This window comes from Homo sapiens, chromosome 10 (genome assembly GCF_000001405.40).
Source record: "Homo sapiens chromosome 10, GRCh38.p14 Primary Assembly".
NCBI classification, from domain to species: Eukaryota; Metazoa; Chordata; class Mammalia; order Primates; family Hominidae; genus Homo; species Homo sapiens.
In genome coordinates, this window is record NC_000010.11 from 103812043 (window position 1) to 103839665 (window position 27623).

A 27623-nucleotide genomic window follows, 5' to 3' on the forward strand; every position below is an offset into this window, starting at 1 on the left:
ATAAGTGCTGGGCCTGGCAAGAGCCCACTTTGCAATCACAGAGTTCTGGGCATGTCACCACTGGGACATTCTCCAGAGTACCTGAGAGCATGCGGTTGGACCTTTGTACCTTCCTCCTTCCAATCCTGCCACCACCCTCTGGTCCCAAGTCAGCTTGGCAGAGCAAACAAGTCTGATCACCTCGAGCCAGCAGGCACTCCAATGGAGAGGCCCAGCAGTGGGCAGTGGACATCTTGGGTAATGCCCAGGAGCCCAGAGAGGGCGATGGTGTGCCTAGGCTGAGGTGATAAGGCTAACCTTGCAATGGAAATCAGGGGGAAAAGCTCAATGCTCCCAGACATTCAGGAGCCAGAGTCCTAGAAATTAAACAAATATATCCTCTCCTGAGCCATCAAAAAAATTACACTCCTGGGCTTCCAAGGGGCTTGGAAACAACCCAGTGGGTCTAGGAAAGGGTCAGAAAATGGGATTCTCATTCCACACACTCCCAAATCAATGACTGACCCAGGCCTACTGACCCCGACACACACATCCTGAAAATGTGCCCCACTCCATCGTCACACCCTGGAGAGAATGGCAAAGGTTAACACACACAGCTTGGTTTCCTTTTCCTGGGAAACACAGCAGTCAGAGGCCAGCAGCCGCCTCCACACACAGCCTGCAGGGGAAATGACCCCTGGGCTTCCTCCCCACCATCTGACACACTCACACCTTCCTCTCTGCTGTGCTCAGCAAAGCTCAACTTTTGACACAAGGCAAATAGCTGTCATTAGAAATTTCGTTGCTTGAGAGAGACAAGAACAATCATTTTGGAGAGCTTTTCGGCAATTTCTGTCGCCAAACTTGCATTCCCTTTGACTCAGCAATTTGACCGCTAAGAATTTATCCACACAATTGTGTGTATGCATGTATGTGTGTGTATATATGTGTGTGTGTATGTATATAAAGATAAGGAATATTGAATGTCTATTGATAAAAAAAGGTCAAATAAATTATGGTTCATATACCTACTAAAGATAAGGTGGACTTTTCTATATCATTATGGGAAAAGGTTTATAGTATCTTGAGAAAAGAAAAAAAAGATTATAATGCTATGTATACCATATGATTAAATCTATCTGGGGGATGGATTGTATGGGGGGAAGTTTGCATATGTGTGTGTCTATGCACATTAAAAAGAAAAAAATACAACAAATTGATAATCATGGTTATTTGCATGGAATGAGAGAGAGGAGAAATGGGAACAGTTTTGCTTTCTACTTTATAGATTTCTTTTTTTCTTTTTCTTTTTAGAGACAGAGTCTCGCTCTCTTGCCCAGGCTGGAGTGCAGTGGCACAATCATAGCTCAATGCAGCCCTGACCTCCTGGGCTCAAGAAGTCCTCCCCGCTCAGCCTCCCCAGTAGCTGGGACTATCGGCATGTGCCACCATGCTTGGATAATTTTTTAATTTTTTTGTAGAGATGGGGTCTTGCTATGTTGCCCAGGCTGGTCTCAAACTCTAGGCCTCAAGCAATCCTCCTGCCTCAGCCTCCCAAAGTACTGGGATTACAGGTGTGGGCCACCGTGCCTGGCCAACATTTCTATATTATTTCATTTCTTTTGAACATGTATAGCTTTCATAATCTCCATCTTAGAAAATAATTGAGTCCTCTTAGCCAGTCCTCTGGCTCATGCCAGCTCCTGGATGTTGTGCTGACATCCAGCATTTGCTCATTCTTGTGGGGCTGTAGGGAATTTCAGGTTCAATGCTGAGCTCTTGAAGCCAAGGTCTACAACCCTGGCTGTACATTACAATCACCTGGGGTGCCTTAAAAACACTACAGGATTTAAATCAGAATCTTGGAAGGTGGGGTAGGCACTGATAATTTTAAGAGCTCCCCAGGTGGGTCTACGGGTTGTTCCAGGGTTGAGAACCACTAAGCTGAACCAACATCAAAAAGACCACTGGACTAGCTAAAAAAAAAAAAAAAACAACAAAAAAAAAACCACACCCTTTTAATAGAAAGCAATATTACAGAGTAATTTGTACTACTAAGAGTCAGCTCTGCCTTTAAGATATCTAGTTAGGGAGTTTGTACTGGGTGCTTTTTCTCAAAGTTCTGCTTCCAGTTTTGGAATTCATCAGCTCAAAGTGGGGAAAGCAAACAAGGAGACTCGAGTTCCTTCGTTCTGAGCTGTGGCTGTGCTGGGGCTTTCTTTGGCAGCCTGTGCCCACCCCATGTCTGCAGGCCTTCATCAGCGACTAAGGGGTCAGAGTCCAGCCCTTCTCGGCTCCAGGAGGAACAGCTGAGAGAATTAGAAGCACTCAGCCCAGAGGAGGTATTTAAGAGACATACGATAGCTGGTTTCAAATATTTAAAGGACTGTCAAAATGTGAAGTTCAACTCCAGTTGTCCCTAAAGGAAGGCAGTGGATAACGAGTGCCAGCGATGGGGAAGCAGGTCTCTGTCCAACATCAGGAAGAATTTTCTAATCATCAGAGTTGTCCAAGGATGGAAGGGGCTGTCTTGTGAAGTAATGGGATGGCTGGGGCAAGGGACGAGTGACCACCTGTGACTGTGATGCTGGTAGATCCCCTCCCACTCAGCCCTCCAACTCCATGAGGCCAGAGACACTTACAAAGTCTTAAGCAAAATCCACTGGGAATGTTTCTTTTAACCAAAAGAAGCTTTCAAATAATAGTCTGAGCTCTGGCTAAGTGTCAGGCACTGCGCTAGGTGCTAGAAACGAAGGCAGTAAGCTAGACAGGGTCTGTTGTCATGGAGCTTATATGGGAGGCAACAGACAACATGTCAGACCATTTCTGACGGCCCCAATAAAATGGGGTGGTGACTGAAACTGCAGGGAGGCAGCTGCTTTAGATTGACAGGGGAGGCCTCCCTGGAGTGAGGATGTTTGAGCTGAGACCCAAATGCAGAAGGCAAAGTGTGGCAGGCCAACTGGGGAGGTGGGGGGCTCTTCAGTTTGACTCAGTACAAAATGAGAAGGACCTCAGATCACACACAAAAATTAACTTGAAATAGATGAGAGACCTAAATGCGAGAGAGAAAACTATTAAAGTCTTAGAAGAAAACATAGCACAAATCTCCATGACCTTGAATTAGTCAAGGGTTTCTGAGACATGACACCAAAACCACAGCTCAAAGACAAATAAACAAACTGGACTTCATCAAAATAAAAAACTTTTGTGTTTCAAAAGACATCAGCAAGAAAGTAAAAGGAGAATCCCCAGAATGGGGGAAAATATTTTCAAGTCATTTGCAAATATTCTAGACAAAGGACTTATATCTGGAACATATAAAGAACTCTTAGAAATTGTGGTATATATATGTATAATATATACAGTGTATATATTATACACTATATGTATTTATATACAATATACACACACACATATACAGTGTATAATATATATACTATATATATTATATATATAATATACACACACACACAGTGGAATATTATTCAACTTTAACAAAAGATATCCTGCCATTTGACAACATGAATGAACCTGGAGGACATTATGCTAAGTGAACTAAGCCAGATACAGAAAGAAAAATACTGGGCCAGGTGCGGTGGCTCATGCCTCTAATCCCAGCACTCGGGGAGGCCGAGGCAGGCGGATCACGGAGTCAGGAGTTCGAGACCAGCCTGACCAACATGGTGAAACCCCGTCTCTACTAAAAATACAAGAAGTAGCTGGGTGTGGTGGCACACGCCTGTAATCCCAGCTACTCAGGAGGCTGAGGCAGGACAATCGCTTGAACCTGGGAGACAGAGGTTGTGGTGAGCTGAGATCATGCCATTGCACTCCAGCCTGGGCAACACAGCGAGACTCCATCTCAAAAAAAAAAAAAGAAAAAGAAAAAGAAAAATACTGTATAATCTCATATATGGATTCTAGAGCCAAATATATAGAAGCAGAGAAGAGAAGGGTGGTGACAGGGGTGAGGAGGTAGGGAAAATGGCAGATGTTGGTCAAAGGATACAAATTTCCAGTATGTAGAGTGAATATGTCTGGACATCTAAGGTACAGCCTGAGGACTACCATCACTAATACCGTATTGCATGCAAGAGGTATGCCCAGAGAGTAGATTTTAGTGCTCACACCACACACACACAAAATAAAGAACTACGTAAGGTGATGGATGTGGTCACTTGCTTGACTGTAGTCATCATTTCATTATGTATTGTGTATTAAAACATCATGTCGTAGACTTGAAATACATGCAACTTTTATTGAAAAAGAACTCTTACAACTCAATAATAAAAATATGTAATCCAATTTTAAAATGGGCAAAGGATCTGAATAGATTTTTCTCCAAAGAGGAGGTACAAATGGCCAATAAGCACATGAAAAGATGCTCAAAGTCATTAGCAATTAGGGAAATGTAAATCAAATCACAGTGAAATATCATTTCACATGCACTGGGATGGCTATAATCAAACTCGCAGATAATAAGTGATGGTGAGGATGTAGAGAAATTCACACCTGCATACACCGTGGGTAGGAATGTAAAATAGTGCAGCCACCTTGGAAAACAGTCTATCAGCTCCTCAGATGGTTAAACGTAGCGTCACCGGATGACTCAGCAATTCTATTCTGAGGCATCTACCTAAGAGAAATGAAAACTTACATCCACACAAAAACTTGTATGCAAATGTTCGTAGCAGCATTATATTATAAAATATATACATTATGTAATGTTATGTAATAACTAAAACATGAAAATAACTCAAATGTCCACTACATGAGGAATGAACAAATAAAATGTGACTTATCTATACAATAGAATATTATTCTTTTTTTTGAGACAGAGTCTTGCTCTGTCGTCCAGGCTGGAGTACAGTGGTGCCATTACTGCAACCTCCACCTCCCTGGTTCAAGCAATTCCTCTGCCTCAGCCTCCTGACTAGCTGGGATTACAGGTGTGTGCCAACACACCCGGCTAATTTTTTTTTTTTTTTTTTTTTTCTGTATTTTTAGTAGAGATGGGGTTTCACCATGTTGGCCAGACTGATCTTGAACTCTTGACCTCAGACAATCTGCCCACCTCCCAAAGTGTTCGGATTACAGGTGTGAGCCACCATGCCCGGTCTATTCTTTTTTTTTTTTAACTTTTATTTTAGGTTCAGGGGTATATGTGAAGGTTTGTTATACAGGTAAACTTACGTCGTGGGGCTTTGTTGTATAGATTATTTCATCACCCAGGTATAAAGCCCAGTACCCGACAGTTGTCTTTTCTGCTCCTCTCCCTCCTCCACCCTCCACCCTCAAGTAGGCCCCAGTGTCTGTTGTTTCTATCTTTGTGTTCATAAGTTCTTGTGCTCTGTCACCCAGGCTGGAGTGCAGTGGTGCCATCTCGGCGCACTGCAACCTCTGCCTCCCAGGTTCAAGCAATTCTCCTGCCTCAGCCTCCCAAGTAGCTGGGATCACAGATGTGCACCACCACACCTGGCTAATTTTTGTATTTTTAGTAGAGACATGGTTTTGCCATGTTAGCCAGGCTGGTCTTGAACTCCTGGCCTCATGTGATCTGCCTGCCTTGGCCTCCCAAAGTGCTGGGATTACAGGCGTGAGCCACCATGCCTTACCTGTGTTCATAGGTTCTTATTTAGCTTCCACTTACAAGTGAGAACACATGGTATTTGGTTTTCTGTTCCTGTGTTATGGAATATTATTCAGTTATAAAAAAGAATGAAGTTCTGATACATGCTACAACATGGATGAATCTCGAAAACATTATGCTGAGTGAAAGAAGCCAGACACAAGCAACCACACATTATATGATTCCATTTATATGAAATGTCCAGAAAAGGCAAACATATATAGGGAGAAAGTAGATTTGTGGTTGCCGAGAGCTGTGGGGTGGGTGGGTGGCTGTCAGGGATAAGGAGACTGCTAATGGGGCCTCTTTCTGGGATGATGAAAATGTTTAAAAATGACTGTGGTTGAGAGTTGCACTATCTGTGAATGAACTAAAAACCATTTAATTGTACACTTCAAATGGTTGCATTGTATGATATGAATTCCATTTCAGCAAAGCTATTGTTTAAAAAGTTAGAAGGGAGACAATGTACCTCTTGGTTAAGGGGTTCTTGTCAGAAAGAACTCTATTTCTCCATCTTCTCAGCCTGTCTAATTCCTGCAAGAGCCAATCAAGACCCACCACCTCCTAGAAATCTCCCTGGGCTGCCTCAGCCCTGGTGCTCCCTCTGCCCCCTCCTCCGGTGCACAGCATGCTTGTGTGGGTAGACGCCATGCTATGTCCATTAATCTTGGGGAAATGTATGCTGGACCTCTGCAATCATCTCTGCAGTGATCACATTGCCCATCACCAACTCTGGCACACAGCAGCAGCTGTGCCTGGCTGGTTAAGGAGAAAGGCTGACTTTAAGAGAACACACCTGGTTCCCCAGGCTCAGCAACAAAGAAACCGGCTCTTTAACACTGAGAATTGGAAAGAACTGATTCCTAAAATATCCTGCTCTCTTTGCCTGGAGAGATCACTGGCCCCGGTAGACCCTGATGTGCAGGAAAAATTTCCCAATCATGCGGCAAAACGGGGAATGCCATCAGCTCCTGTTTGGCCTCCAGGATAGAGAAACTGCACTTAAAATCCACTAACCCTGTTCTGACACTGGAAGATCCTATGGCTAGGTGAAATCGGCTCACCTTCTCTGGAAACACATTTCTCCCCTAGTTCCCAGTCCTGACTGTGGGTTTGGGCCAGCCTTCTCCCATGTGATCTCACCCACCCTCCACCCCTTCTCCAGACCTCACTGGGTCCCCCTCTACTCACAGTTCTCCCCTTCTCTGAAACCTTTACAAGGCACCTGCAACCATAGTGCCCACTGCAGCACTGGAGACTCAGATGGCCAATTTCATGCCTGACCGTTCCCCCAACCCATTCCCAGAATCATTCTTGACTGGATTACAAAGTCCTTGAAAGCAAATATTTGATCCGGGCTTCCTTTGTTTTCTCTACAACGTCTAATGACTTGGTAGATCCTCAGTAAAGCCATGTTACTTGTCTGATAAAATTCAGTCCAGTCCCGTCAAGAAGGATTGGGCGCTTATTACGTGCTGGGCTCTGTGCTAGACACTGGCAACACAAAGTCAAATAAAACACAGCTCCAGTCCCAGGGAGCTCTGGTGTGGTGAGAAAGAGCAGTACTAAGGGACAATGTGCTGTAAGGCTAGGTCAAGAGCTGTGCCTGTTCCCAGGGAACCCCAGGAGAGGCACCACTCTGGAAGGCTTCCTAGCAGAGGTGATGCCAGAGTGACAGATAAGGAAGGTAGGCTGGGTGAAGAGGTGAGGGTTGTGGTGGTGGAAGGGTACCCTAGGCAAAAGAAACAGCATAAGCAAAGGCTGAGGGCTAGGGGAGGGGGCATGACACAGCCTGAGTTCCCTGGGAGAGCCAGGGCCAGCTGGGGTGACTGGAGCCTGGAGCCCAAGGCAGTGAGAGGCAGGAGGTAAACTGAGTCCCAGCTCTGAGGCTCGAGGGAATGATGGGGGCAGAAGAGGGAGGAGGGCAAGGGGGCGAAGAAGCACAAGGTCAAAGCCAGCTGAAGTGTTTCTTCGGTGGAGAACTTGGCATAGTTTGGGATTGGAGAGAGAGGCGAGAACAGGTGTCGGGGAGATCTAAGGGCTGAAGGAGGAATAGATGAGCATGTGAGGGAGCCCAGAAGGAGCAAAGGGCCCTGGAGCAGGGGGCAGGCAGGACGATGAAGCAGGCTTGGCAATGAGAGAGAGTGTGGGCAGTGAAATGCGTGGGGTCCCTAGAGGAGGGGGGGAGATGGGAGCCCAGGAGGGGCTGCTTAGAGATCAAGAAATCTCACCCCAAAGGCTCTGGGCCCCCAGATGGTCCACACTCAGGATGCAGTGGAGTGACTAGAATAGATCTCAGAGTGGGAGTGGGTTCCCCAGGGAGACCCTAGTTCCTGGAGGGGCACAGGGTGCTTCACCTGCTCATTTTTGGACAGTTCAGAGTGACTAAGACCCTGAGGCATTCAATGCAGGGAGCGTTAGCGACTTTTGAAAAATGAGAGAAACTAAGTGCCAGAAGTCAATGACTTTGTTTCACGCTCAATTCGCTCCCAGGCACCGGATCTGAGAGCAAACCTTTTAAATCTCCCCTCCTGCTCCCAAACTTGGCTCAAAATGTGGAGCAACTGGAATGAGGAAAGGGGATTCTTTTGAGCCCCCAAGCTGCTTCTCCCTGCCCCTTCCTTCCGTGTGGCCAGAGGGGACCCTCCTCTCTGCCACAGCCAACTCCAGGACGTCATTTGCTCCCAGGTCCCCTCAGGAGGGGAAGAAGGGACCTGCCAAGCTGGCTGGAGAAGAGTCCTGCGCAGCGGCCAGGGCAGCCTGCCAGGGGCTGCATCTGGTCGGGCTTCCCGCCCCAATTCCCCGGTTCCTCATCAGGCTGAGGTTGAGGTGAGAGGAGAAACACACAGCCAGCCCTCCTCCCCCAGTGCCCCCTCAAAGTCACGTCATCCAAGCATTCCCTGGGGAGGGCGGCCCCCTCCCTCTGACCTCAGCCTGTTTTGCTTGGCCAGAGCCCACCCCCAGTGAGCCTGTCCCCTCCCCACACCCTTGCTCACACCCAGGCCCATGCAGGGAAAGGCGTGAGCTATAGATTCCAGCCCTCCCAGGCTGCACACCAAAGCCCCCAGATAAGGGGCGGGGGGGTTGGGCGCCCCTCCCAGCCATGTCTTCTGAGATGCCAACTGGGCTCCAGAGGGTGGCTAGGGGCTGGCGCACATGGCCAGAACTTCCCTTGTCTTCTACCCTCTAAGTGGCATCTCCCCCAGCTTTAACCAAGGGGTCAGGGCCGGGGAGAAACACAGGGAAGCCCAATGTGTACAGCCAAAACCAATTCAGGGATTCAATCCTAGCTTTGCCTCTTAACTGGTGTAAGATCTTGGACAAATCAACGAGTTTCTCTGACCCTGCATTTCCTCGCCTAGACAATGAGGGTAATAAGAGGGTATGCCTCTGATGGTTTCAGTGAGGATTAAATGGGATAATGCATCCAAAGCACTTAGCACGTGCCTGGCCCACAGAAAACATTTAATGTATGGTCGTTCATTCTTTTTTTTTTTTTTTTTTTTGAGACAGTCTTGCTCTGTCACCCAGGCTGGAGTGCAGTGGTGCGGTCTCGGCTTACTGCAACCTCCACCTCCTGGGTTCAAGCGATTCTCCTGCCTCAGCCTCCCAAGTAGCTAATTTTACATACCCAGCTAATTTTCGTATTTTTAGTAGAGACAGGGTTTCACCATGTCAGCCAGGCTAGTCTCGAACTCCAGACCTCAAGTGATCCGTCTGCCTCAGCCTTCCAAAGTGCTGCGATTACAGGCGTGAGCCACCACACCTGGCGTTCATTCTTTTTATTTCCTAGATTTCCTGGGAATTCTAACACCAGTGGCAGTGCCAAGGGAGGCTTAATCCCCACCTTGACAATCTCCATCAGCCAGCTCCAGACACAAGTGGGAGATCTGTTGTTCTTGTTATTATTATTTGAGGCAGGGTCTTACTCTGTCACCCAGGCTGGAGTGCAATAGCATGATCTCTGCTCACTGCAGCCTCGACCTCCTGGGCTCAAGCCATCCTCCTGCCTCAGCTCCCCTGCCCCCCACCACCAGTAGCTGGGACTACAGGGGCGCATCACCATGCTGGGTTAATTTTTTGTATTTTTTGTAGAGATGGGGTTTCATCCTGTTGCCCAGGCTGGTCTCAAATTCCTGGAGTCAAGTGATCCTCTTGCCTCGGCCTCCCAAAGAGCTAGGATTACAGGCATAAGCCACTCCACCTGGCCCTGTTGTTATTATTTTATTCTTACTTCATCCTTCTTCTTTTTCTTTTTTTTTTTTGAGACAAAGTCTTGCTCTGTCACCCAGGCTGGAGTGCAGTGGCACGATCTTGGCTCACTGCAACCTCTGCCTCCTGGGTTCAAGTAATTCTCCAGCCTCAGCCTCCTGAGTAGCTGGGATTACAGGCATGCACCACCATCCCCAGCTAATTTTTGTATTTTTGGTAAAGACAGGGTTTCACCAGGTCTCAAACTCCTAACCTTAGGTGATCTGCCTGCCTCGGCCTCCCGAAGTGCCGAGATTACAGGCATGAGCCACTGCGCCTGGCCTTATTTCATCCTTCTCATTTGACTTATTTGTGTAATTATTTCTCTTGAGTAATAGGCCATTGACCTTTTCTGGATGTTATACATACTGTGCACAAAAGCAACTTTATTAAACTTGCTATTTTTTGTTATTTGGAATACACACTCTAAGCAAAGACAGGGTGCTTCCTATGCAGATGTAACCCCTAGCTGTCCAAGTTCCCTGCAGAAATTCTGGAGCTCTCACACAGCTGCACACATACACAGGTTCTTCCCTGGCATCCTGCCATGGCCCCCCATTCCCTAAATCTAACACCAAACTTCTCATTCAGCCTCACACAAGCTCTGCCCTGATGCAGCACTCAGCCATGAGGGCATGGTGGGGGGGGAGCAGCACTTTCATGCCTGTTAACGAGGACCCCAGGAAGCCTGGAGCAAGCTCAGGGCAGCCTCTTCCCAGGGAGGGTGAAGAAGCTTACTTCTAACTAACTCACAGCCTCAAAGGAAACTGATCTGAATACCACCACCAAGCCCCCTTAGAGAATACCCCCTCTCTCCAAGGAACAATCCTCTAAACCCAAAGTAATAAGCTGAACCACCCAAAAAAATTTTTAAATGGACCAAGAATATAAATAAGCATTTACCAAAGAAGAAATACATATGGCTAACCCATACATGCTAAGACACTCCATCATCTCATGTGTAACTGAAAAAAGCCAAATCAGAACGACAAGATGTTATTTCTTTTCTATCTGGCTGACAGAAACAATCACGTTTGGTCAGATAGGTGCTGAAGTTATGAGGAAATAGATAGGTCTCAGACTTCGTGGGAGGGAGCTGAATTCTTTCAGGAGGGCCATTTGCCAACATATATCAAAATGAGAAATGCAAACTGACCCACCAATTCCCCTGCTAGGAATTTATCTTGGGGAATAAATTCACAAAAGTGTGTCAAGTTATATGTTCAAAGATGTTTTTGGCAGGATCCATCAAGTTGTCCTGGGAATCCTCAGAATAAATACTTTGCAACTGTCTCAAAATCTAGGTAGCCTAGGTTTGCTGACAGGGAGAGAGGATGTGCCACGGATGCCATGAGAAAAGCAGCGTGCAGAAAAATCCGTCTCTTTTGCAGAAGTCACCTTGAAGGCAATGCTGGCTTTGTGTAAGAAGGTGGCATTCCTGATTCAGGCCAGAGTTGACCCTTAACACCCACCTTGATTGAGACTGGCTTTAACCACTGCCCTTACAGGGTTGGGAGCATTATTCTGGCTGGCCTCATCACTGGGCTCCACCATTTCATGGCAACTGAGGCACAGAGGGAGGCCACCCTAGCAAGTTCCATGTGCTAGGCTCTGCACTGGAGACAGCCATACATCATTAAGCCCATGTAACCCATATACAAATCCTTGGGATGGGTACAAGCCCATCTAACAGAAGAAGATGCTGAGGGTCCAAAAGGATCAGTGACTTGCCCAAGGTCACACAGCTGGGATGTATTAACAGTAGAGCTTGGATTCCAGTCCCGGTGGGACTGATTCCAAACCCTGTGTTTTGTCCCTGCCTCATGGCGTGGCCTCACACTACAACTCACAGACTTTGGAAAGCTGAGGGAGCTTGGTGAGCCTAGGGAGTGGGAGGCAGGGAGGTGCCTGCAGACATGGCTGAGATGAGGGAAAGAAGGGCAGCGGGCAGGGGACAGGCTTCAGCTGGGACAGCCATGCCAGGCCAGTCAGCGTGTCAAGGCCGCACTCACTCCTGCAGAACAATGAAAAGAGACATCTCAGCACCCACACCCTAATGCCTCACTCGAGAGTGTCCCCTGAGATGTGTCCCTCATATTGTCCCTTGCCAGCTGACGGCCACTCCCCAACCCCTGGGAGGAAATGTATTGGCTTGCGGGGCTATTTTGAAGCTCTGAGGAATGTGCCTGACCTGGCACTCCCCTGGGAAACCCCTCATCCACTGACTGGCTCAGACCAAGCACCCTCCTTCTGCAGAAACCTCCAGGTGGCCCCAAGGGGAGGGTGGGCAGGCATGGAGTTTGTTTCTTTCGGTGGCTTGGAGCTTTGATTTCCTCGTCTTTAAAATGGGAAGGCATGAGGAAGGGCAGAGTTGGGAAATAACTGCAAGCTCTCCCTTAGCTTCTAATATTCTCTGTTCTCTGGGCTTTTCTGTGGCCAGGGGAGGTTTATTTGGAGGAATGCTGAAGCAGTCCCGAACTCAGCCCTTGCCCAGGCAAGTCCAGCTTCCAGCACAGAGGCTGGGTCAACCCGGAGGGGAAGCCACACAGCATCCACCGAGCCTCTGAGAACATTTTCCTTATCCTGATCTGAATCTACTTCCTGCTAATGCCCGCCCATACCCACTAGTTCTGCCTCTGGGGCCACAGAGAACATATCAAAATCCTCTCCTGAAAGAGGACATTTCACATAGCCCCTCTCCCGGCATCCCCTCGGCTTGAGGATAACCAGCCCTACTTCCTGTGGCTTCTGGTGACCAGTCCTGTGTCTCCACCATCCAGGCTGCCCTCCTACCCTGCTCTCATAAAATGTACACCAGGACCTGAATCCAACCTTCACCTGTGTAGACCAGGTGTAGACAGGCAGAGAGGGCAGAATGGAAGCAACTCTTGCCATGTCATCTCTCTATTTTTTGAGATACAGTCTCACTCCATCACCCTGGCTGGAGTGCAGTGGCACGATTTCTGCTCACTGCAACCTCCACCTCCCGGATTCAAGCAATTCTCGTGCCTCAGCCCCCTGAGTAGCTGGAGTTACAGAAGTGCACCACCAAGCTTGGCTAATTTTTGTATTTTTGTAGAGATAGGGTTTCGCCAAGTTATCCTGGCTGGTCTTGAACTCCTGGGCTCAAGTAATCCACCGGCTTAGGCCTCCCAAAGTGCTGAGCCATTGTGCCCAGCCTCTCTCTAAACTTTCTAAATCCTAAACCTCTACAAATGCATTCCAAGAAATGTGAATTCTGTGAATGCATCCCTAGGATTTGGAGAGGCATTTATACTGCTGGCTTCTGCTGGCTCCCAAACAACCCCAACCCTGACACCTCACACACCTGCTTCCATGAAAACCAAACCTCCTGCTGCCTACACTTGGGCCGCTGATTTCATCAGCGCCCATTACATTTTCTTTTCCTAGGACAGTATCATTTGTTGAGAATTTACTCAAGGTATAATGGCTGTTAACAGGCGTTGCAGGGAGGAGGGAAAGGGGAGTTATTATTTAATTGATACAGTTTCAATTTTGCAAGAGGTGGGTGTTTTATTCTTTTTGATGCTAATAAAAATGGAATTGTTTTCTTAATTTCCTCTTTGAATTGTTCATTCGAAACTCATTACATTTACATCTGTTCAGTTCTAAGCACTCTCTCTCCTTCCTCCCTGGTCACCTGTAAATGTGAACAGGATGCCATCAAAATATCATCCAAGTCACTGACCAACATTCCAGGTCAGAGACAGAGCATAGAGTCCTGTGGCATGCCCCTAGAGACTCTCCTTCCGGACAGCACTGACACACTTGGCTTAGTTCTGTATGAAGCTGAGAACAGGGTGCTCCTGGGTAAAACACAGCATCCGTAACAAATTTTTTTTTTTTTTTTTTTGAGACGGAGTCTCGCTCTGTCACCCAGGCTGGGGTGCAGTGGCGCAATCTCAGCTCACCGCAAGCTCCACCTCCCGGGTTCTCGCCATTCTCCTGCCTCAGCCTCCTGAGTAGCTGGGACTACAGGCTCCCGCCACCACGCCCGGCTAATTTTTTGTATTTTTAGTAGAGATAGGGTTTCACCATGTTAGCCAGGATGGTCTCAATCTCCTGACCTCGTGATCGGCCCACCTCGGCCTCCCAAAGTGCTGGGATTACAGGCGTGAGCCACCGTGCACGGCCAATTATTTTATTTTTCAAACCTAAGAGGAGCTCCCAATATGAAAGTATTGTCAGCAAGTTTTCTCATAAAATGAGAAATCTTGTAAATTAAACAAATCACAAATTGGCCTGCTTTGCACATCCAGAGTTTCATGACCTCTAGCTAATAAAGATGCCCATGTTTGCTCAGGTCACCATGTGTTGGGCTCCTGGCTGGGCATTTCAGGCACATCCATGCTATCATCATCCCTATTCTCCAAGTGAGGATACTTGGGCTCAGAGAGGTTCGGTGACTTGCCTAAGGTCACACAGATATAAACCCAGATGCATGTCCAGGTCTGTTGGACTCCAAAACTGTTCTTTCCACTGTGTGGTGCTGCCTCTCAGGTTTCCTTAAGGAGGCTGCACCTGTTTACATATTCTCTCCAGACTAAGCCCAGAACTCCATCCCAGGCCTCCAGCAGACTCCCCAGCTCCTGCAGGTGATCAAACAGCTTCAGATCTACTGAGAAACATGCAGATCCTAGGAGACAGAGGATCCCAGGATTCTGATGGAACTGGCTGTCCATGCTAGAATTTTCCCCCTAGTGAGTGTAATTCCTTCCAGGTCCCGGAGCACATTTTAGAGCCGGGCACTTTGTAATTCTGGTTAATGTCAGTCATCTCAGCTACTCTGTAACATCCCTTCTCTCCAGGCATGAAATTGTTTTGGTTCACCCGTGAATCTTCAGCACCTGATATGGTGTGTGGCACACAGTAGGCACTTAATAAATGCTGGTTGGAAGAGCAAAAGATCAGATGAGATAACGGACATGGCCATGCTTTTCATAAGGTTGGCAAAGGGTAGCATGGTCACCATTAGGTAATTAGGAAACCCTGCCTGGAGGATGCTTCGGCCCGGCTAATGGAGGGATAACTCGTAGAATGAGCAAGAGGTAGGGAGAGACCCACAGGGCATGGAAGTGATCAAGGGATGAATCCAGTTCCTTCCACAGGAGGATGTCCCCAGGCGAATCTGTCATCCTGACAGGTCCACAACCATTGCAGATGACCACATTGAATAAATCAGCCAGGGAGCTCAGGGTGGATGAGGGGTGGGAGGGAGATGTCACCTCTTCGGAGCCATGGAAACTAGGCCCTCAGCAAGTTCATGTACACCAAGGCGATGTATTTGGGATGGTGATAAAAACTGGGCCACTTCTGGGCGGGGCTGGTGGAATTCCTGCTGCTCCTCAGGCCCACTCCTCTTCCTTTCCCTCAGCCTGGAATGCCCACTCCCTCCTTTCTCCCTTCTCACCTCTCACCCATCCTTCAAGGCCTTCACTCCCGGTAACACTACGGAAATGGAGTGTCTATCATGGTATCATGCAAAGAGAATGTGGTTTGGAGTTAGAAAGACATGTGGGTTCAGGCCCAGCTCCACCACCCATGAGCTGTGTGGTGTTGGGCAAGCTACATGACTCTCTGAGCCTCAGTCCTGTATTTGTAAAGTGAACCTCACAGGAGTGCTTTGAGAATTAAAGAGGTCATGGACACATAGGTACATAGCACACCGCCTGGCACACCACATTCTCAGTGCACCGTGACTTCCTTCCAGCCCCTTCCTAGACATCCCATGCGGTTTGTGGTACCCAGTTCTGCTGGGCCTGGTGGATTATTTGTCCATGCAAGGAGCTCTGCTCTCTACAACTAGACTATGAGCTTTTGAAGGAGGGGCTATGCCATCTCTGCATAGTCCTCAGATAGAGCAGTACTGAAGTCATGGGGCCTAGATTTGAATTCCGGCTCTGCCACACAGTCTACGTGACCATGGGCAGACGTCCCAACACCTGCCAGAGCCACTGGTTCCTCAGCTGTAAAACGGGGATGACAAGAGTGGATGAGAACAGTCGTGCCCCGCAGAGGACTGCTGTGAGGCTCTAGGAAGGTGCACAGAGCCTGGCCTGGTTCCCTGTGCAGAATTACAGCTCGGTAAATGCTGGAGACCATGATCATCATCCCTGCAGGGCCTGGCACGGCAGGCAGGGGCACTGGCACATCTTTTGGGAGAGAGGAAAGTCTACGTAATAAGATGCTACAGTTCTCTGTTTTTGTATTTTGGGTAATGGGGATGATGGGTAGGTAGCCAGACTCTAGGCAGGAAGCGAATGCTTACGCTAGGGAGAGAAAGTTAGTAAGCGAGTGTGAGTGCCAGGTCCCAAATCAGCTGAAGGAACAAGAGTCCATTCTCCACACCTGGGAGTTCTTCCTGATGATTCATGAACAACATTCTCATGTTGCAAGTCCAGTGAGCGATTTTACCACCACTCCTCAAATGAGCTTCCCCAAGCTCATTAAAGTAAGCAGCTCAGCAGCTCAGAATTTGGTCAGCTTGGAAGCATCACCCTCCCTGGGGGTGGCCCTGAGATAACCCAACCTAACTTTTTAATTAAAACAAGTTGACTCCTGGGTCTCCTTCCATGAAAGTCAGGCTGCTTGGCCCTACAGACTTTTCAGGCTTCACAAGCTCTACCTGGTGGTGGAAAGTGGGTGGGAGAAGCCAAACTTCTTATCACTCAATATTCCACTTCCAGAGTCAGGGAGCCCTCCTGGCTGAGATGCTGCCGAGATCCCAAGGGCAGGGCCTCTGCTAGAGCCATCAGCCCTATGGCCAAGTGTCTATCTTCATTTCAGACCAGGATGAGGAATCTCTTCCTGTGAATCTGCCTTTTGGGTCTTTGGAGAACAAAGACTGTTTGTGTTCTGTACTTCGTCCTCTCTCCTCCTAACCTCTCCCCCAGCCCTAGTCACAGTTGGACGATTGCTTGGGTGAGCCACGATACATACGTTGGTGCATTCATTTATTTCCCAGTTGAAAGGTGGTGTTGCGATTTCTGCAGCTGCATCTGGAATACACACACACTTGCTTTTTTTAATGGGGCAGTCACCCGTTGCAGCTCAAGCTGTCTTGATGGTTCTTCCACCCTTTTGAAGTCTCCACCACATCTTTTGCCTACTGAGTGGGAAGTTCCATGCTGCTGGGTTCTTATTTTCTTAACACAGTGGAAATATTTGGCCTTTTCCATAATATTTGGCTCTCCTGGTACAATACATAGACAGCACTTTTTAATGTTGTGATTTCAAGGGACTGTTTATTTAATAGTGATCTGTAGGATACCACACACTGCTGTGGGAGGCCAGCCCTGCAGACAGGGTGGGGTGCAAACAAAGGAGCCATCTAGAATTCTGTGCTCCTAACCCACTTCTGGGAGGCACGCAGGCATCCGATCTTCTCTTAAAGACTGTAATTTATTATGCCTCTTTTAAGTTAAAGAGGCTCTCTGAGTTACTCCCTTAAGACCCCCTACCCCAGAAAGCAATAAAGGCGACTAAAATGAACATTTGTGAGGGTAAGAAGGTAATGCCACTTTTAAAAGGAAGGATTTTGTTTGTTTTTTTAAATAGGTCTGGTTCTAGCCTTTGAAGATGATGGATTAACATGTAATCCTGTGTCAACCACCCAGCAAGTATTTACTGAGCACCTGCTAAGTGCAAAGCTCCATGAAGCAAGGCAGTGCAAGGACGGAGGGAGGCAGGAAAGGGCAGAAAGACCGTGATGCCGCCTGTGCAGAGTTTATAATGTAATCAATCAGACAATCACATAACATGCGCATAACATAGGACCTAAAGCTATGCTTAAGCCTTGCTGGAACAAGGCAAGGTAAAAGCAAGGACAAAAAAGGTAAGACTTCAGTAATGGTCCACTCCAGCAATACAGTTAGGACTAATTATCCATTGAATGGCTCAGGCCAAAAGTCGGGTTGCATTAGGTAGGATTCTTTTACATATAATTATCCCCAGCAAATAAGACCAACTTATTTCCACTTGCAAGCAAAGCTACAGGTCCCAATTTAAACAGAGCTAAATCCCAAAACTGGCTTCTGTGAATGGGTGACATCTGGGGAAGGTCTGCAGCTCCACCCCCACCCCAGGTAGACTCAGGTGAAGCAATACCTCTCAGGGGCCATTTCTGGAGCAATCCACAAGAATGGCCAGTGAGGCTTCCAGGCCCTGAGCAAAGAGGGGAAAACAAGATAAGAGAGGTTTATTTCGGATTAAGTAAAAAAACAAAGGAGGCTTAGTTTTGAAAAACTGGCTGAGTTCTTAAGATAATGGAGGAAGGTTTCGGGTTTCTGGTCCTATCAGTGAGAACTGGGTAGGAAATTATAAAAAGAACTTTCATTCCAGACAAGGGAGACAGGCCAGGAAGGAATGATAGGAAGAGATTAAAACTCACTATGTCTTCCAATGTAGGCTGAATCGGTCCTTAGGGAGAAGTGCCAATAGGCTGGAAGGTCTTCCGGGTATTACCAAGTGTTGATGAGGATGTAGGAGAGCTGGGAACCCTCATGCACACAGACTGCATTTAAGTAAATACTGTCATATGGCTTTTCAGTAGCAATCCCACTCCTGGAGAAATCTTTGTGGAGGTTTTAGGGCTGCAATATATAAGGATGTCTGCTGCTGCAATGTTTGCAGTAGAGGGTGTTGGAGGCAAGCAACTTCAGCGTCCATCAAGAGGGAGAATGAGTAAGTGTGGTGGACATGAGTATGGAATACCATGCAGCAGTCAGAAGCAATAAAGTAGAGGCATACAACCACTTAAATGGATCTTATAAATATAGTATTGAGTAAAAAGGGAGATTACCAAACAAAATCAATAGCATAACACCATGTATATAGATTACCAACCACACACACCAACAGCATAACCTATTTTCTGAGGACACACAGGCTTAGGTTAAACAAATTAGAGAGGATGGCTAAGAGGAAAAGGGATAGGATTGAGGATTAGGGCTAAAAGAAAAAATAAAAATAAGTCAGGATGAGGGTTTGCAATGGTGAGAATACGCAATAAATTGAAAAATAGGATGAATTTCCCCAGTTGGTCAGAAGAACCAACACATGATCTACATTTTTAGGTGGGAACAGTCATAATACAAGACAGGTGCGAAGCATCCTTCCAGTCTGTGTTTGCATGCTTTTACTACAAACATATGTAACCATACATTACACACTATTGTTTTGTGAATAATTTTTAATTTACATAAATGGATCGATATTTCCATAAATAATATTTACATAAATGGTATCAGAGATAATATTCTACTTCTTGTTTTTTCATTCAATACTGTTTTGGAGATCTTTTCATGTTGACACTTACAGATCTTATTCATATTAACTGTACAGAATTCCATCAGTGAATATCCTATACCTTATTTATCCAACCATTGGCATTTGTACTGTTCCAAGTGGTAGCCATTAGGGCTGTTCACTGAATATACCAATTCTTTTCCTTCCCAGGCACATGGTAGAATTGTGCTTCCTCAACAACCTGAAGGTATGTGTGGCCAGGTGACCTCTTTGGCCAAGGGATGTGTTATTTTTGGACAGAAGCATTTTTTTTAAATTGAGGCATAACTCATATACTATTAAGGTCACCATTTTAACGTGTACAATTTGGCTGGGCAGGGTGGCTCAATAATCCCAGCATTTTGGAAGGCCAGTGTGGGAGGATTGCTTGAGCCCAGGAATTCAAGACCAGCCTGGGCAACATCATAAGACTCAGTCTCTACAAAAATAAATTTAATTAATTAACTAATTAAAGTGTGCAATTCAGTGTTTTTTTAGTATATTCACAGAATTATGCAACTAATACATCACCACTATCTAATTCCAGAACATTTTCAACACCCCAAAAAGAAACCTCATGGCAGTTAGTAGTTATTCTCCATTCCTCAATACTTCCAGCTCCCGGAAACAACTAACCAACTTTCTGTTTCTATGCATTTAACTGTTCTGGGCATTTCATATGAATATAATCATACAACCTGTGGCCTTTTGTGTCTGACTTCTTTCACTTAGCATAATGTTTTCAAAGTTCATCCAGGTTGCAGGATGAATCAGCACTTCATTCCATTTTTATGGCAGAATTATATTTCATGGACAGAAGCATTTAATTGCCACTGCCGGACACTGCTACACTCTCTCCCCATGCCCCAGGGACCATGGAAGCACTCTAGGCCTTTGCAAGTCTCAGTTTTCAAGTGCCTACAACGAGCAGCAGCCCCTAATGACTCCAATGGACAGGCAGTATGAGCAAGAAATAGAATTTGGGGGCTGTTTGTTCCTGTAACTTAACCTATCCCATTCTGACTGATAAACCAATTTGTCTGTCTTACAAATACATAGCAATAAAAATCATTGCACGTGTCTTCTCATGTGCACTTGGGAGATAGTCTCTACACCCTAGAATCTAAGGTATACACTTAGAAGTAGAACCTAAAAAGAAAAAAAAAAAAAAGAAAAGAAAACAAGGTTCAACCAGCTGATCTGGAGGAAATAATAAATTTCTATCTACTCTCTAAATAATATCTAAAATACTACACACTATTCACAATAGCAAAGACTTGGAACCAACCCAAATGTCCATCAATGATAGACTGGATTAAGAAGATGTGGCACGTATACACCATGGAATACTATGCAGCCATAAAAAAGGATGAGTTCATGTCCTTTGTAGGGACATGGATGAAGCTAGAAACCATCATTCTCAGCAAACTATCGCAAGGACAAAAAACCAAACATCGCATGTTCTTACTCATAGGTGGGAATTGAACAATGAGAACACTTGGACACAGGAAGGGGAACATCACACACACACTGGGGCAGGGTGGGGGAGGGAAAGCATTAGGAGATATACCTAATGTAAATGACGAGTTAATGGGTGCAGCACACCAACATGGTACATGTATACATGTGTAACAAACCTGCACATTGTGCACATGTACCCTAGAACTTCAAGTATAATAAAAAGAAAAAAAAATAGAAGTAGAACCACCAGGTCACATGATAAGCACACCTTCAAATTACTAGATATTGCCACATTGTTTTCCAAAGTGGTTACACCACTTAAAATTCTACGTAAGTGTTCCCACTTCCCCATATTCTCACCAACACTTAGCATTATTAGGCTTTTCATCCTGTACTTTCTAACAGAGAATCACAAACTCTCTTGAACAAAATTGCTAACTATGGCACTCAAGGGTATAGAATATTCTAAATATCTGGTGGTTAACCAGGAAGCCCTTTATGTTACGTCTTTTCCATCTAAGCATTATTTTAGCCTGCTGCCCAGCCATAAGTGGGAAAAAATGCAAAATAATACAATGTCCATGAAGTGATTCCATAGGTATGAGGGATCCACAATGGTCTTCACTGTAAACATCACTTCTCATTTGATGGATTTAGATACAGATGGTATAGGACAACAGATTAAATGTGAACTGACCCATCTGACATAAATCCTAACCTGTCTTATTTATTAATGTCACTTCAATAATTTATCCTACAAAAATAGTAGCTCAAGTTCCCAAAGACATATATATATATATTTATATCTATATATTTATATTTATATATGGATGTTTAGAGCAGCATTGTTTGAAGTGGCGAAAAAGTTAGAGACAGTCTAAATGTTCATTAACAGAGGAATCTTTTTTTAAAAGTTATAATTCCTTATTATCTACCCGAACTTTCTTGAAAGTGAGATGATAAATTTCCACATGGCTTGAGATTGTTTCAGCTGGGATTTTGTTGCTTGCAACTGAACGCCTCCTAACGATTCACTGGTTTTGCACTGGATCTCCTTTGCTAGAGGAAAAGAAATGCAGCCTGACTCTTGTGTGTGGAACACTTGGCCACTTCCCTATTAGCTGCCCCCAAGAGAGAAGTCCTATGACCCTGTGTTTTGAGGGAGGACAGCGTGACCAGGAACCCAGCAACTTTCACCAGAACTTGGTAAGAGGGCTGGGGAGTTAGTCAACATTAAAAACAAATAAAGATGCTTTTTTGTCTGTCTCTCCCCTCCCCCTCCCGGAAAGAGAGTCCCTGGGGAACAGATCAGTAAAGGCTCTGCCCAGTTTCCACCCCTCCCCCACGTCTCTAACCAGGCCAGAGGAAGCAATGGGAATAAACTGCAGGAGAGTTCAACACTTCCTGAAAGACCCAGCTCTGGCCAGCTTTAAGGTGCTGGGGCAGGGGAGAAAATCCACACACTCTGCAAGGTGGCAAGAGGAAATGCTCTCATGGAACCTGAACTCAGGAGCAGAGGCCAGCCCTGCAAGGGCCATGGGGAGTGGCTGTGTCCAGGACCCCTCGGCCACCACATGGAAGGAATCCAGCTCACCCTACGAGCCAATGAAGGGGCTGATGGTAGATGAAAATGTTATGCTGGTGAAAGAAGCCAGTCACAAGAGACCAGGTAGTGTATGACTCCATTATATGAAATGTCCAGAACAAGCCAGTCCACAGGGACAGAAAGCAGGTTCATAGCTGCCTAGGGTGGTGGTCACAGGTGATGGCTAAAGGGTACAGGGTTTCTTTGGTGGACATGAAAATGTTCTGAAATTGACTGTGGTGGCTGTGCAACTCTGAATATACTAAAAACTCTGGAATCATACTCTTTAAGTGAATTGGTCCTATGGTATGGGAATTATATCTCAATAAAGCTGTTCCAAAAAGGGAGGGAGCCAACTGCTTCGGCATGGGCCACCACTCAGGGAGCACAGTGGGGATGCCAAGCACCTGCTGTCTCTGGTATTTTTACCATTAACGTTGCTTTTATGCCAGCCACCAACTCTAGGAGTTGGTGCTACTTTATCATCCTCATTTTAAAGATGAAGAAACTGAGGCCCAGGCAGATTAAGTAATTTGCCCAAAGTCACATGGCCGGTGGTGAACTCCAACTCTCTCAAGCAGCCCTGCGGCCTGTAACCACTATGTGGGCCGCTACAACCTAATCTAAGTCAGTAGACAGCTGAACCAACATGCAAGTTAATGCTGTAGTAGGTTCACACTTATCTTAATAGTTCTGGGCCTGGGAATTTATTGCAGGATAATTTTTCAACATTTGTGCTGCTCAGGCTGCCTTGAATGAGTCTGCCTGCCTCCCAGACTTGGCTGATGTTGGAGCACACAGGTGGGGCAGAGGTGGCCCTTTAAGGTTCTTGGGGACACTGGCAGAAGCTGTCTGCTTTCAAGCAGTTGTTTGGAGTCACAAGCTGGCTAGGTACCAGGAAGCCCTCTCCCAGCAGCTCTGGAAACCAAAGGGTACGAAAGGCCCAGGCTGGGAGTAAATCCCAAATGCCCCATGCAGACTTGCATCTGGGATTGCAGCTTCCGTGGGATTTCCCACTGCTCTGACGTGAGCTCGCAGGGGTGGGAGCAGCCAGGCAACTCGGGTGGCCCCATTGCCTCTGTCTGCCAAGAACTCACAATGACGAAATGTCCACCCGCGATCCCTTCCAGGAATCCAGACTGGGAAGGTCTGTTTCTCTGCCATTCCCTTATTCGAAGTGAAATCGCTTAGCAGACAACGATGGATCTGCATTGCCCCATCCTCACACACCTGGATATGGAATCTCCACACGGTGGAGAAATCAGACCATGTAAACAAACAGGTTGACAGATGCTCACAGGGTATGAAAACTAGACATAAAGTTCTTTACCCAGCTAGAATTTTCTACAGTCTCTTCTCCTGGAGGCCCAGGGGGGTGAACTCAAGGACGTCCTGGTCTTTTGGCCGCCCCCCCAACCCCTCACCAAGTCTTCGCTGATTTTCCAGTCTCCCGTGCAGCTCTACCCTCCTCTGGGTCACAACAACTTTTCCCTGAAGCAGGTCCTCACAGCACACCTGCACCACTCTATAGTTCATGCAGCCAGGCCTCAGAGCCTTCTGCTCCCTATACTTCCTCCTTGGCCTTCACTGAAGCCAGAAATCACGTTTCTAGAGCAAGTGCCCCAAGTGGAGAGGGAGGCCCCTTTCAGCATGAGCAAAGGCTTGGCTGAATCTCACCAAGCTCCCCCTTCACTGGACGAGGAACCAGCAAAGGATGGACTAAAGGCTGGTCAAATCCCAGTACCGCGTCTTCCTAGTTGTGTTACCTTGAGTGAGTGACTCAGCCTTTCTGATTCTCAGGCCCCTTATCTATAAAGGGGAGAAACACAGTCTCTTTTGAGAGCATGAAATGAGGTCTATGGGCACCTGCCTGGCACCAAAGAGGCAATGGAGGAAAAGATCAAAGGTGGTTATTGTAAGTATATGCAAAGATCTATGAGACCCTTTTATACTAAAATCTAAGTATTCTTGGACCCCCTAGCCTGATCATAGGGGGCTCTCAAGGATAAAAGATTGCCCCAGGAATATGCCAACAGCTTTTATTACACACACACACATCCTCCAGCACACACATGCACACACACACTGCACTCACAGCTACACACAGACATGTCCATACACACACAATACATCCCCAACACACACATTCCACACTCAAACCCACACACAGACACATCCATACACACATAACACATCCCCTAACACACACACTCCACAAACTCACACACAGACACATCCATACACACACAGCACATCCCCCAATACACACATTCCACCTTCAAACTCATATACAGACACATCCATACACACACAACACATCCAACACACACAGTCCACACTCAAACCCCCACACAGACATGTCCATACACATGCAACATTCCCCAACACACGAGTGCACACACACTCCACACTCACAGACATGTACACACACACACACACACACACACCCCTTCTTTTCTCCCTTTGTTTTCTTAAAGATGTTCTCACCATCTCTAAAAACACACTAGTGTCTCCACAATTTGAAACACCATCACAAGAAGCTTTCATGTTCATAATGTCCAATGCTCTGCCAACTAGCCCGATTTTACAGAGGGAATTTTACTACAAACAAGCAGAGCGTCTTGCTCATATATGTCACCTTGCACCTGGGCACAGGAGCCGGCAGCCCCTCTCCGTTTCCTTAGACACTTACTGATGCTGCTCCTCCCAGCCTGATGAGTGACGGATGAAGATATTAGATTTCTATTATCCCTAAGTCTCTCGTTTGTTTCCTGAGGCAAGTCTACATAAGGCCGGGTTCCCTTGTTTCCAAGGCCCGCCTATCGTGTTTGCACTGACTGAGCTCCTCCCTGGTGGGCCCCTAGAAGCTGTTGTACTTATCAAGTATTCTTCAGCCCTCTATTCTTTTACCTACTCAGGAAATTGCCCTCTTATTATCAAGAAGACCTCATCAAACAAGTTTCTTATCTGACTCCTCTCTAACGAGAAACCCATAAACCTCCAGACAGGCACCACCGGACAGGCAGCCTGGTGTGGGGACCTGGGAGTCCCAGACAGAGGTTTTCAGTCCTAGCTCTACCACTTGCTAGCAGGAGAAGTTTGCTATCCTAGTTGGGTTCTTCCTGAAGCCGACCCTAAGACAAGGCCTTGGATCCAGGCTGATAACTCCCATTCCCCACCACTTGAGGGTGGGTTCCAGGGATGACAATTAGCCCCCTACCTTCCCCAAGTCTTTCTCAGGTGCACCCACTTGGGCAGAGCAAGCTTCCCTGGGGCCATGGCCCAGGAGGGAGTGCTCACACAGACAGGTGAGGTGGGGAGCTGTCAGTGTGCTGGATGCCACAGCTGGGGCACTGCAGGTGAACTCAGGTGAGCCCAGGGGACGTGGGGCAGGCATCAACAGTGCCCACCATATTTCCAGGAGTCACGGACCCTCTCTGAGCCTTTCCTTGTCTGTGAAATAGGCAGGAGAACTGTAGCACTTCCCAGCAGCACCCCTCAGAGAAGTTGTGGATGTGAGGAGCTCTGCAAACTAGGACACACACAGTACCTGCAGAAGACACCGTCACCTGCTGCACCCACAGCCCTGCACAACTCAGGGCTGCTCTCGAGAGGAGAGTGCAGGAAAGAGTGGGAAAGGCCAGAGCCCACTGAGCCGCCTCTTGGGGCCCTCGCCAAGCCTCACAGCTGTTTGAACAGCCACCGTGAAGGAAAGTGACTACCGGATGCCTCATGGTGTCTCTGATTCTGCAGCCAACCAACAAGGGAGGCATGGGCATGGTTAGCTGCGGAAACTGAGCCCCCAGGGTGAAGGACTCCTCACAGAACTCAGCTAGGAAATCCCCTGCTGGCCTGAATCTTTACACTCGCCCTTCCTCTAGAACATGCCACAGGTTCCATCCAAGACACCTCTGTCACAAACACCATGTGGCCCTCTCAAGGGCTCTAAATATATACCTGTCAGGCCCCAGGGGCTCTGGGCTGATGGGAAGCAGACTCACCTGCGGTGTGGGTGCAAATCATGGCAGCAACATGGAGCACTAACTCTGCACCAGGCACCTTAGCAGGGCTTTTGCCATCATCGGCATTTAATCCTCCTAACGACCCTATGGGGAAGGTACTATTATCCTCATATTAACGGAAGAGGAAATCCAAGCACTGAGGGGGTAAGTGACTCACCCAAGGCCACACAGCAATAAATGGCACAGCTGAAATTTGAACTCAGGCAGTCTGGTTTCAGAACCCCCTCTCTGAACTACTTTGCTGCTTTCCTCTCTAAGGTTCAGACCATTCTCTTCACTAATGTGTCAGAAGGCAGCACCCCAAATGTTGGGAATGGAGCTACCATTGCCCTCTCTCCTTGGACAAGGACTGCCAAAGGCCAGGGAGGCAAAACAGCACAGGCAGCCACCTCTCCTACAGGACCAGGCTCCTGGGGAGACCGTGTAACAGCTCGGTCCTAAGTGGGGGATCTTTACCAGGCATCGGTGTGCCCACGGCGGCATCTGGCACTGTGGCCCAACACAATCAGGGCCAATGACTTTTTTTTCTTTTTGAGAATAAAGATTTTTCCATTTGGATGTTCTAATGGGGGTTCCCAGTACAATCTTTCCAAAATGGAGAGAAAAAGCAAGGAAAAGCCAAAGACAGCAAGAGTTTCCCAGAGCACAGAGCCAGGAAGAGGCCAAAATGAGCTGGCCCCAGCTGCCAGCCCACAGGGAGGGTGTCCAGAACATCAACATACATACAGACCTAGAAGAACGTCTTGGGGCGTGCACATCAGCACAGATAAATGGTCAACCCCGCGTGGGATCTGCTCACCAGCTCTGAAGGCGGCCCTTGGCTGTGGACATAATCTTCTTTCCATTTCTTACATTACATCAGCAGAACCACTAGCAAGTAGAATAGAAATCCCAACTCTCTTTTTTCATGCCTCCAGCCTCCTTCATCACTAGTTCCACCAACACCCCTACACCCTGAAGTGGAAGTTCTAATCACAGGTTCGACACGAGGCCAAGCAAATTAGCTCGGTAGTACAGACCCAAAAGTCAGGTCAGGAGAACAGCAATTGTGTCAGCTCTGAACATGCACATGCGAAGGATTCTTTCAGGGGATGCTCCGCCTTCTCTGACGGAGAGCATATGCTATTCCAGTCACTGAGCTCTTGCTCTGTGCCTGGCAGTGTTTTGAGTGTTTTCTGTTTTACGTTAATTAACCCGTGCCATCCTCATCACCAGCCTGAGAGATGCTTTTATTATCAACGTTTTACAGATGAGAAAACCGAGGTGCAGAAAGCTGCAGCCCCTCCCCCAAGGCCACACAGCCCCTCCCCCAAGCCCACACAGCCCCACCCCCAAGGCCACGCAGCCCCTCCCCAGAGGCCACGCAGCCCCTGAGTGGCAAGGC

General features: G+C 47.1%; 1 protein-coding gene across 2 annotated transcripts in view, besides 2 other annotated features; it reads right to left on the bottom strand.

Annotated features, from left to right (window-relative positions):
- Nucleotides 1-27623, bottom strand: part of SH3PXD2A (SH3 and PX domains 2A) — a 261550-nt gene that overhangs the window by 218016 nt on the left and 15911 nt on the right. The gene's annotated exons all lie outside the window — the stretch shown is intronic.
- Nucleotides 22613-23169: an enhancer, noted in NCBI's record as "NANOG-H3K27ac-H3K4me1 hESC enhancer chr10:105594413-105594969 (GRCh37/hg19 assembly coordinates)". NCBI's record gives its function as "activates a minimal SCP1, AML or CMV promoter by ChIP-STARR-seq in primed H9 embryonic stem cells {active_cell/tissue: H9 hESC(primed)}" and the evidence as "EXISTENCE:reporter gene assay evidence [ECO:0000049][PMID:30033119]".
- Nucleotides 23170-23725: an enhancer, noted in NCBI's record as "H3K27ac-H3K4me1 hESC enhancer chr10:105594970-105595525 (GRCh37/hg19 assembly coordinates)". NCBI's record gives its function as "activates a minimal SCP1, AML or CMV promoter by ChIP-STARR-seq in primed H9 embryonic stem cells {active_cell/tissue: H9 hESC(primed)}" and the evidence as "EXISTENCE:reporter gene assay evidence [ECO:0000049][PMID:30033119]".